This window comes from Homo sapiens, chromosome 11 (assembly GCF_000001405.40).
Source record: "Homo sapiens chromosome 11, GRCh38.p14 Primary Assembly".
NCBI lineage: Eukaryota > Metazoa > Chordata > Mammalia > Primates > Hominidae > Homo > Homo sapiens.
The window spans coordinates 97,944,710-97,957,083 of record NC_000011.10 but is presented as its reverse complement, the minus strand read 5'-3'; the positions used below and the strand labels follow the sequence as shown (position 1 = coordinate 97,957,083).

The 12,374-nt window shown below is 32.5% G+C and overlaps 1 long non-coding RNA gene across 1 annotated transcript in view; it reads left to right on the top strand.

Moving 5' to 3' along the window:
- Window positions 1-12,374, top strand: part of LINC02713 (long intergenic non-protein coding RNA 2713) — a 78,303-nt gene continuing 65,929 nt past the window's right edge. Inside the window, exon 1 of the long non-coding RNA NR_183633.1 lies at window positions 1-113. This is a non-coding gene — a long non-coding RNA (long intergenic non-protein coding RNA 2713). The remainder of the gene's footprint in view (window positions 114-12,374) is intronic.

The window sequence follows — 12,374 nt, the reverse complement described above, 5'->3', positions numbered from 1 at the left end:
GATTGTCCCACTGCATTCCATCCTGGGCAACAGAGCAAGAGTCTGTCAAAATAAAAAAGAAGAAAAAAAGAAGAAAGATTTTAATTATTTTTATCAACAATTATACATTTTCAGTAGGTATATTATTATACAATTTAATTCAGGAAGTCTTCTTTTATTCCAAGTTTGTTAACAGTTTTTATAACAAATACAGGTTGAATTTTGTAAATGACTTATTTTGTATCTACTAAGATGATCATTTTATTTCTTCTGTACTCTGTTAATATGGCAAAGAATTTATAATGATATTTTAATATTAAATTAAATTTCCAGAGGCTTATGGTTTCTGCTAAAGATGTAAATAGCTAGAATGCTATTCACTCCCAATCTTAGCAAAAACAAATCACATTGAATGTATCATGAGATTATCCTATAGCTTCCATAGGCCAGCTTTCAGGATTACTGCTGCTTCTTTGAAATTCATCCGTGTTTTCTTTGCTTGTTTATCCTCTGGGCTCTTTTACTATTTTCAAATTTTCATTGGTTTTCTCCAGCTTAATTGGGACATGGATTTCTTTCTATATATTCTGCTTTGAGTTCATTGTTTTTCTTAAACCTTAGGAAGCACTTCGTTTATTTTAGAAATACATTGTTATTATATCATTTTATATGGCTTCTATCCATTTTTCTTTATTTGTCATCTGGATTTCTAATTATGTATATGTTTGACTGTCCAGTCTTCCTTAAACTTTTTAACCTCTCTTCCTCACATCTCCCCATGGTTTTAGTTTTTTATTCCATTATTTATTCTGAATACTTTTGTTTCATGTATTCTCATTTTATTGAGTAATTTGTGGATACGTTATATTTCTATTTAATTTTTTCTCTATGTTTGTTCAATAATTTTAAATATATCAAGTACATGGATTTGTAACTATTTTATGATCCTGCCATTTTATCTTAAATGATTAGTTTACCTTATAAATGCATCATTAATCATTTTCTTTGATTTATAATTTGAATTATAAAATTTCTATTCATTTTTGGTATATTGGTGTTATATACAGCAACAACATTTTGCACTCTATATCATCTCTGGAAAAAAACTAGACATGTCTTCTTTCCTAATGTTTATAAATTTTCATTCTTTTTTAAAATCATTGGTCTAAATCTTTAGGACAATTCTTATGAGAAGCACTAAATGTGATCACCTTTGTTTTACTATTTATTTTTATTTATTTATTTTATATATATTTTTTCATCTTTATCCATATATTTGTTCTTAGTTAAATTAGTAGATATTATGCTGACTATGAGCATCTGGTTAATGTTCTTTATCTAATTATGAAAGTTATTCTATATTTCTAATCGAAGAGTATAATTTTTATAAGTGGAGAGTTAAACTTTTTTGAATATATTTTTGTCCTTTTAATGAAATTATCATGTTTTTCCTTTAATTCGTTGAAGTGATAGAATATAGTAAATAAAGTGGAATTAAGAAATACATTATTTGAAATGCAGATGCCAATGATCTAAAAGTCCAGGTAATTGAGTAGATCATCAATATAAATTTTGATTTTGTTAAGAATAATGATAATAATAGTGACATAAGGGAAGGATGGTAAACTAGGTGAAAGAATGAGGAGAATTTAAGAATGAGAAGGAATGAGAAATGTTAATAGATGCCAGTATCAAAGAGAGCTTATAGATAATGAAGTCTAACGGCACCAACTTGAAGAAATCCTTGGTGTTTGAGAGATAACAAGTAGTCTAGGAGCTGAAATGAGATACATAAATATGCTATCTTTATGCCTTGCAATACATAGATTATTGGAAGGAAATAAACAACAACTACAGCTCCCACTTTAAAGGCTCCTTTGGCTATCACATCTTCAACAACATACGAGTCAAAACAGGAGACTTCAGAGAATAGTTTGAAGTAGAATAGGGGAGTAGGGTTACTGATGAAAGAAGGTGTTACAAAGGGACCTAGTGAAAATGTTTGAGAGATAAGGAAAGAATGAAAGATTAGGTCGCTTTAAGAAATGAACAGAATTTTATGAGGATGAGTTCTAGTGGTGAGAGATTTCTTGGAGACTTAGACTCTTTTGATAGCGACAGGAGGCACAGAGGAATAATAATTAATGAGGAGACTTTTAAAATATTTCATAGGAAAGATAACACATCAGTTCAAATTAGAATCTCCCTAGTATGCTCCTTTTTTGTTAATATAAGTGTTAATTAAAAGTTTAAGTCACAAAAACATTGAATTTACTTATAAAATAATTTAATATATGTAATCTAATACAGCAGAATTACTAAATGTCAGTCTTCAATCTACTGTTTTATATTTAAACATGCAAATTTATATAATTTAATGATTTATTTTGCTTTATTTTACTCACCATTTCAGCTACAAAAATTTACAGTTTAAGATTATGTAGCGATACACTGAGAGATTTTCAACTTATCCGAGACAACATGATGATTGGAAAGGATGTTTATTTTAAAATCAAATAGGCTGAGATTGTACTTCAGGTTCTTCTACTTAATCATGATGATTTGATCTTTTCAGAATTACTGAATCTAGTTTTTTTAAGAATAAAATTAGAACAATATAATTTTTAGGATTAAATGAGTTATGTAGAATCCCTGGTCATATTTGTTGCTCAGAATGCTAGTCCCTGTGAATTGCCTGAAAATTAAATGAGGTGACACCTGATCAGGGTAGTATGAAGAGAACCATTTGACCTTAAAATTGTTTAAAGAAAGAACCAGGCTATACTATTGAATTCAATCTTCTCTTCATTCTGGTTAAAATATAGAGATATGTACATATTTAGAAAACACTATATTTTCCCACTTCTATTAACTATGAAACATCCCAGCTAAAGCAAAGATTAAAGGAAAACAAAGGCAATGAATAGGAAAAAAATAGTATACTCCCTGCAATAATTGACGAATTCAACTTATTCCAAAAACGATCTGATTCACTTTTATGGGAAGATTCCAAAGTAAGCATGCTTGGGTTAGAAGCTGATCTATAAGCAGATTTACCTGCCTTAGTTGAAAAACAAAGCTAGGGGAGGGAAGAATATTGCTAATTTTTACAGAGACAAAAGAAGGCAGGGAAGACATTGAGATTGCATTTTATATCAGTCTTGGACTTGGAAAAGTAAGACTTTTTCTTGACATGTAAAACTTTACACATAAAACATTAGTGTAAGAAGTCATTCATTTTTCGAATAAAGAAGGGAAAAGATGAGTGCATGACAGAAGAGACTCAGAACCTCTTTTTTTTCTGGAGCAAAGAGAATATATTGAAAAGTGGAAAGTTGATAAGTGTTAGAAGAATTAGATGAGAGGCTCTAAACAAATAAATTTACTCACACTTCAAAGGACCAAAACTTCATCTGATAATAGAATAGCAGGGGAACAATAACTTTTATTTCTGTCTCTAAAAAGATGGCTTTTTGAGAGATTGCACTACATTTTCTTCTACTCAGCGCTCTTCAGGAAGACTCTTGTAGTTGTTACTTTTACTTCTGTTAGTGATTTTGAACACTAAATTTTCCCAGTCATATTCTCTCCTGTATATCAATAATTGCTTTGTGCAACTGGTCTCTTGAGAACCATTAAGGCTTAGAATTCCTTTAAAAGTGTTTCTTACAGCAAGGTGTTGTCTAGCAACCCTCTTAATTCACTTGTATAGATATCTTGTTTGTGGGAGTACCTATTTATTCAATTTTTTTAATTCATAAAAGATGCTTGTAAGTTTTTTTTAAGTATATCAAGGAGTAAACTTAAAGCTACATTCGAAATAGGTTTTTTTTGAAACTAGGGAAATTATAGGAATAAAAATAACAATATATATCATGTGTTACCATCACTAAAATTTTGTTCATATACTTTCTTCTACCTTATTTTTGCAACAATTTTGTGAATTAGAACTGTATTGTTATCTTCATTTTACAACTGATAGTACACACGTACAAAATGTAATGGGCCTGCCCAATGCACAGAACTAATGAGTACTGAGTGGAAATATGACTCCTCAAGTATCATGTTTCTAAAGCCAGGGCTCTGTAAACAATATGGTGAATTCTCTGTTTGTACCTACAAATACCAATATATGAAGTTTTATGAAAACTTATCTGAACTGGCTAGGTTTAATTGATCTACTCATTGTCTTACTTTTTTTTTTTAAATACTTAAATAGAGAAATAATGCTTTATGAATTCTCTGTTTGTACCTACAAATACCAATATATGAAGTTTTATGAAAACTTATCTGAACTGGCTAGGTTTAATTGATCTACTCATTGTCTTACTTTTTTTTTTTAAATACTTAAATAGAGAAATAATGCTTTAAGAATTCTCTGTTTGTACCTACAAATACCAATATATGAAGTTTTATGAAAACTTATCTGAACTGGCTAGGTTTAATTGATCTACTCATTGTCTTACTTTTTTTTTTTAAATACTTAAATAGAGAAATAATGCTTTAAAGTAAAATTATGCTTATGTTTTTAATATGCAGAGTCCTATAATAACATTTAAAGTAATTTTCAGTTTTAAAACAGTTTAATTATCTAGCTTTAAGCTGTGCATTTGAGAAAACTAAGAATGAGAAAAACAAACAAATGACAGATTCTGAAAGAAACGCTTAATTGTGTGGTACTGAACCTTTGGCTGTTTTGAACAGGAGTAAATTTGCAAAGGAAAGTCTGGTCATGTATCAAATAGTGCTGGATTTATCAACAAAAGTTCCACAGTGAAACATAATAAAAACTATAGGAACCAGGAGTTCAAAAAAAATAACATTGCTGAACCTTCATTTGGTGCAGTATATATTTTTATTTATATTAAGCTACAGAAAATCAATAGTATAGACTTTATTAATAATACATTGGTTGCCATTTTTGTGCTTTGACTTCAGGCCAGTAAGATTTAAACCACCTTAGAACTCCTAAGTGTGAAATTTCAGATATAAGAATTTAATATTCCTAATTATCCTTGTTTTAAACTGAAGATAATACTACTGTCTGCCTCATGATAATATAGCAAGTCATATAAGAGTTAATGGACAAGTGGACATACCGTGCCAAGCACAGTGGATGTAACATGGCTTGAGCTCAATAAATACTACTCCTTCTTGTCCTTTTTGATCTCTCTTTTTTTCTCTCTCTTTCAAAAAAAAAAAAAAATAATGTACATTGGACTTTCCTATTTCGTTCAAGACCATAGTGTTTTCTTCTCTGTCCAAATAATTGTTTGAAGATACTCTTCAGAAAATAAAAATGTAACTTATTATTTTAGTGTATTATTCATTTTCTGCTGTTATATCAGAATATCTGAGACTGGGTAATTTATAATCGACAGAAATTTATTGGCCCATGGTTCTGGAGACTGAGAAGTCCAAGATCTGGGGGTTGCATCTGGTGAAGGCCTTATTGCTAGGTCACAACACGGCAAAAGGTATTGCATGGCAAGAGAGAGTAAGAGAGAACCAAACTCACTTTTATTAAAAAGCCACCCTTACTCTCATGAGTGAACCCACACTCAAAATAATAATGTTAATCCATTCATCAGTGATGAACATCCATGACCTAATCACCTCTTAAACTTTCTACCTCTCAACACTGTTGTATTGAAGATTAAGTTTTCAGAACATGAACTTTGGAGGACACATTCAACCCATAGCATTCAGTGTGTGTTCATTCACCAAGTGTATGCAAATTAAAGTGGAATAATTTTATGACATCAACTAGAACACCAGAATCAGTAAAGAGGAACACAGTGATACAGGTTTTCTGACTTAAAATGAAAAGTCTCAGGATACAAAATCAATGTGCAAAAATCACAAGCATTCCTATACACCAATAACAGACAAACAGAGAGCCAAATCATGAGTGAACTCCCATTCACAATTGCTACTAAGAGAATAGAATACCTAGGAATAAAACTTACAAGGGATGTGAAGGACCTCTTCAAGGAGAACTACAAACCATGCTCAAGGAAATAAGAGCAGACACAAACAAATGGAAAAACATACGATGCTTATGGATAGGAAGAATCAATATGGTGAAAATGGACATAGTGCCCAAATTAATTTATAGATTCAATGCTATCCTCATCAAGCTACCACCGAATTTCTTCACAGAACTGGAAAAAAGTACTTTAAACTTCACATGGAACTAAAAAAGAGCCTGCATAGCCAAGAAAATCTGAAGCAAAAAGAACAAAGCTGGAAGCATCATGCTACCTGACTTCAAACTACACTGCAAGGCTACAGTCACCAAAACAGCATGGTACTGGTACAAAAACAGACATACAGACCAATGGAACAGAACATAGGCCTCAGAAATAACACCACACATCTACAACCATCTGATCTTTGACAAACCTGACACAAAAAAGTACTGGGGAAAGGATTCCCTATTTAATAAATAGTGTTGGGAATACTGGCTAGCTGTATGCAGAAAACTGAAACTGGACCCCTTCCTTAGACCTTATAGAAAAATCAACTCAAGATGGATTAAAGACTTAAACTTAAGACCTAAAACCATAAAAATCCTAGAAGAAAACGTGGACAATACAATTCAGGACATAGACATGGGCAAAGACTTCATGTCTAAAACACCAAAAGCAATGGCAACAAAAGCCAAAGTAGACAAATGGAATTTAATTAAACCAAAGAGCTTCTACACTGCAAAAGAAACTATCATCAGAGTAAACAGGCAACCTACAGAATGGGAGAAAATTTTTGCAATCTATCCATTGCACAAAGGGCTAATATCCAGAATCTATAAAGAACTTAAACAAATTTACAAGAAAAAAACAAACAACCCCATCAAAAATGGGCAAAGGATATGAACAGATTCTTCTCAAAAGAAGACCTTTATGCAGCCAACAAACATATGAAAAAATGCTCATCATCACTGGTCATTAGGGAAATGCAAATCAAAACCACAATGAGATACCATATCACACCAGTTAGACTGGACCATCAAAAAGTCAGGAAAAAACAAATGCTAGAGAGGATGTGGAGAAATAGGAACGGAACGCTTTTACACTGTTGGTGGGAATGTAAATTAGTTCAACCATTGTGGAGGACAGTGTGGCAATTCCTCAAGGATCTAGAAATAGAAATACCATTTGACCCAGCAATCCCATTACTGGGTGTATACCCAAAGGATAATAAGTCATTCTACTATAGAGACACATGCACCCGTATATTTATTGGAGCACTGTTTTCAAGAGCAAAGACTTGGAACCAACCCAAATGTCCATCAATGATAGACTGGATAAAGAAAATTTGCACATATACACCATGGAATACTATGCATCCATAAAAAAGGATGAGTTCATGTCTTTTGCATGGACATGGATGAAGCTGGAAAACATCATTCTCAGCAAACTATCACAAGAACAGAAAACCAAACACTGCATGTTCTCACTCATAAGTGGGAGTTGAACAATGAGAACACATGGACACGGGGAGGAGAACATCACACACCAGCGCCTGTCAGGGGGTGGGGGGCTGGGGGAGGGATAGCATTAGGTGAAATACCTAATGGAGGTGACGGGTTGATGGGTGCAGCAAACCACCATGGCAAGTGTATACCTTTGTAACAAAACTGCACGTTCTGCACACATACCCCAGAACTTAAAGTATAATAATAAAAATAAATTGGGGCAAAAAACTTATGAAGTGCCCTTTATTTAAATAGTTACAAACTGAAAAGGTAAAAAACTGGTTTATCGGATCCAAGGAGAAGAAAGGTGATCCCATACATTTGAATTTTTATTTAACAGTTTTTTAAGTTGTGTAATACATCACATATAAATGAATAAATCACAAATTAAGAATCACATTAAAAAAGTATACAAAGATTATTTACTACAAATCAAATTTTCAATATCAGTGATGCAGGTCTAAGTAGAGTATGGTTAAAACTGGCCCAATTGTTCCACAGAATTAATATTTAGAGTTTCCTTTCAATAAACACAGAAATTGACCCTCCAAGTGTTAAAACTTAAGAAAGTCACATTTGTCTTATCTGAGTTCCTTCAGCAGGAAAGCAACCATCAGTCCTCCCAAAGAGTAACAAGGAACTGAAACCTCATCTGTCATGATTGCCTAAGAGATTACCTGGTTCCTGTTGGCCAACTCATCTTCCTTACTTCTCCCTAATTCCTGTTTTCCTGTATATAACCATGTTTCTTCTTTGCTATATAAACCTCTGATTTTAGTTAGTCCGGGAGATGAATTTGAGACTGATCTCCCATCTCCTTGGCTATAACACAAAGCCTCTCCATGTTCCAGAGTTTACCACTTTTCTACTTTTATTGTAATCATCACCTTGATTTGTTTTTTTAGGTATACCAACTAATCATGTCTGCCAAACACTTTAGTAATGTCTGTTTTATAAGCTTTGCATAAATAGAATAATAGAGTATATATATATATATTTGTATCTGGCTTCTTTATTAACTTTATAGCTATTAGGTTGACCTGTGTAATTGTATATAGATGTACTTTATTTATTTTTGTTGATAAATAGTGTTTCCTGTATACATTTTGGGAGGAAATGCCTTTCCTCACCTAGGTCTGTCGGGATGGGGCCCTAGCTAGGGACCACACACTTCCCTTTCCCCTTTTTATATCATTTAAAGGGACCAAGACCTTCCCTTCCCAGCACTTCCATATCAATGGCAATGCCTGCTTTATAAACTTTGCATAAATAGCATAATAGAGTATAGTGTGTGTATGTATATATATACATACTCTCTCTCTATATATATTTGTATCTGGCTTCATTAACTTCATCATTGTAAGGTTGACATGTGTAGCTGTACTTTATTTATTTTTGCTGATAAATAGTGTTTCCTACTTAAATTTGCCACAATTGATTTATTCATTTTACTAATGACAGATATTATTTTTGTTGTTTCTAAGATGTTTGTTTTCATTGTCAATATGCACACATTAGGCAGGACTAGACTTAGGAATAAATTTACTGCTCCCCTAGTCATGTGGTGGTACCATTTCACATTCCATCAAAAGTTTATGAGCATTCGTTTGCTTAATATCATCTCCACCACATGAAAATATCAAAGTTTTTAAAATTATGGTCATTTGTTCAGCGTTCAGTTGGATATTATTGGGGTTGAGCCTCCCCAAATGCATATTTTGAAACCTTAATTTCCAATGTGATGGTATTTGGAAATGGGGCTTTTGAAAGGTAATTGGGTCATGAAAGTAGAGCCTCGATAATGGGATTAGTGCCTTTATAAGATGACACAGGAGAGAACTTGCTTCTCTCTCTGTACACTGCCTGTGAGGACACAGCCAGAAGACAGACATCTACAATCTAAGTGGATCCACACTGGAACCTGACCATGCTGGCACTCTGCTATCAAACTTTGCAGCCTCCAGACTGTAAGAAATTAATATTTTTGTGTAAGTCACTCAGTATATGGTAATTTCCTATAGTAGCTTGAACTCAATAAGATGGGATTTAAATTTCCATTTTCCTGATTATTAATGAGGTTGAGCATGTTTTTATAGGACAATTGGAAATATTCTTCTGTAAAATTCAAGTTACTCCTACACTTTTTATTGAACTATTATTCGTTTATTTGTAATAATAATTTACATATATTTGAATGCAAGTTTTTGACTAACATTTATAAACTTCTACAGTTTATGAATTTTTCCCCAATTCAAATGGTGAATTTTGATATGTGTGTATGTGTTTTCATCTTACTGCAGTTTATTTTGCCTTATTTTCTTTTCTGGTTACTCTTATTATTTATATTACTGTTGTCTGACTGAAAAAGTTTTTCCAACTAGTTCACAAATGCTTTTGCTAATTTTGGTCCTGTGGGTTTCCATATAGATTGTACAATGTTGTCATATTCCAAAAATTACATCTGTCGGGTTATAATTTTACAACCAATTTAATCAGTTTGAGAAGAAGTGATATCTTTGTAATATTGACTCTTTAAATACACAGAAATACTTTAGTCTTTATATAGGTCTTATTTGGTCTCAAAGATGCTTTGTACTTATTTTATATAAAGGACTTGTATATATGTTTTAGGTTTATTTCTAGAAATTTGATATGTTTTTGATACTTTGTTAGATGGTCTCTTGGATTAAGTTTTATTTTCTTATTGCTGCATGCACACAAACACATGACTGGGCACAAATGCAGTTAATTTTTCTATGTTAAACATGTATCCAGGAACACTGCTGAACTCATTTTAAATTACAGTAATTTAATTTAAGTATATTTTGGAGATTTTCAAAAATCATGAGATTTGTGAATACTGGCAATTTGGTTTCTTTCTTTCCAATCTTTGTATTATTTATTTTGTTTTCTTGCCCTACTGCACTGCTTAGATGAGACTGGATTAAAAAATAATTCAATTATATGTTGTTACAAGAGATATACCTCATATTTCAAGACATATTGGAAGTAAAGTAATAGAAAAGATTTATCAGACAAATATCAGTGACTAGAAATCCGGTGTGCTATACTGATATCAGGCAAAATAGACTGGAAAATATTATACTGGATTTACCACATGAATTTGAAAATGCTTTGTTTTTTATTTTCTCTAAAAGATTTTTAAGTAAGATTAATTGTATAATTCTTAAAATTTTGGTAAAATTCACTGGTGAAGCTATCTAAACACGTATTTTTTATCTTGGAAAGTTATTGAATTATGTGTAAAATTTATTTAGAAATTATACAGTCTTTTATATTTTCTATTCTTGTGTTAGATTTGGTAAATCATAACTTTTTAGAAACTCTTGATTTCATCTTAATTTTTAAATGTATTAACCAATTTTTTCACACTCAACCAACTTTCTTTTGGTTAGTAATTTTATATTATATCTTTTTCCTTACTATACTTTTACCTCCATTTTTTTTGTTATCATATGTATTAGGTATGTTGCCTACGAAAAAGTTAGTTTCCAAGGGCTGCCATAATAAATTACTACAAAACTGGCATATGAACACAATTATATTCTCTCACTTTCAGACTTTGACATCGTCTCTGTCAAAATTCCAACACATTTTTCTGCATAAATGGAAAAGCTAATGCTTAGACTGTATGTAAATGCAAAGGGTTCCAAATAAACTTAATAATCTTGAGAGAAAAGATCAAATTTGGAGGGCAAACACTTACCATTTTCAAAACTTTCTCCAAAGCTACAATAACCAAAACAGTGTAGTACTGTCAAAAGGACAGACATAAAGAACAACGGAATAAAACTGGAAGTTCAGAAATACACCCTTACTTTTATGGCCAGTTGATTTTCTGCAAAGATAAGTCTACTCAATGGGGAAAGAATAGCCTCTTAAACAATGCCACTAGAACAACAACCAGATTTACCTATGCAAAAGAATGAAGTTGGACCCCTGCCTCCTACCATGTACAAAAATGCATTCAAAATGGATCAACAATCTAAATATAAGAATTAAAACCATAAATCTCTTGGAAGAAAATATATGAGTATATCTTCACAATCTTGGATTTTGCTATGGATTCTTAGACATAACACTAAAAGTACAAGCAACAGAAGACAAAAAGTTGATAAATTGGACTTTATCCAAAACTTTTGAGCACCAAATGATATTATGAGTGATGTCAGCAGAATAGTTCCTATTCCCCTACAGCAACAGTAAATTTGCAGCCATGCACAGACGAAAATACCCTTATGGGAACTTGGAAAGTTGTGAAACCCTGGTGCAGCCCAAGACCTAGGGGGTCCTTTTCGGAGGGCAGAAGGGCACCTACGTGGCCAGCTCACTGACTGCAGCTCCAGTTCCAGAACTTGAAATGGTCCTTCCCCCGATAGACTTGGCTGTAACTTCATTTGTTCTTGGTCCTGGTACTGGAACTGTCCACCCAGGGACCTGGAAGGAGTCACACTCATTTGTGCCTCAGGTTATACATCTACAACTTGATGTTATCTGTGGAACAGAAAAGCCTCTGAAAATTGGCTGTAGCCCCTCTCAGTAATGGTCAGAGTTCAGTCCTGTTGGCAGTACAGGGACTCAGAGAGAGACAGGCACACCTGAGTCCCCATGCCTGGCTCACCAACCTCAGACTGGCAGCAGACTCCAACAGGGCTCTGAGTCCCAGCTAACAAATTGGTGAACTGTGTAGAAATAAAAAAAAATCAAGATAGAAAAATCAGTAGCATTTCTATACATCAACAACAAACTATCTAAAAAGAAAAAAATCACAAAAACAATTCCAGTTAAAATAGCTACGAAAAAAAAACCTCAAAAATAAATTTAACCAAAAAGTAAAAGACCTATACACTTAAAAGGTTAAAACTTTGATGAAAAAAATTGAAGAAGACAAAAATAA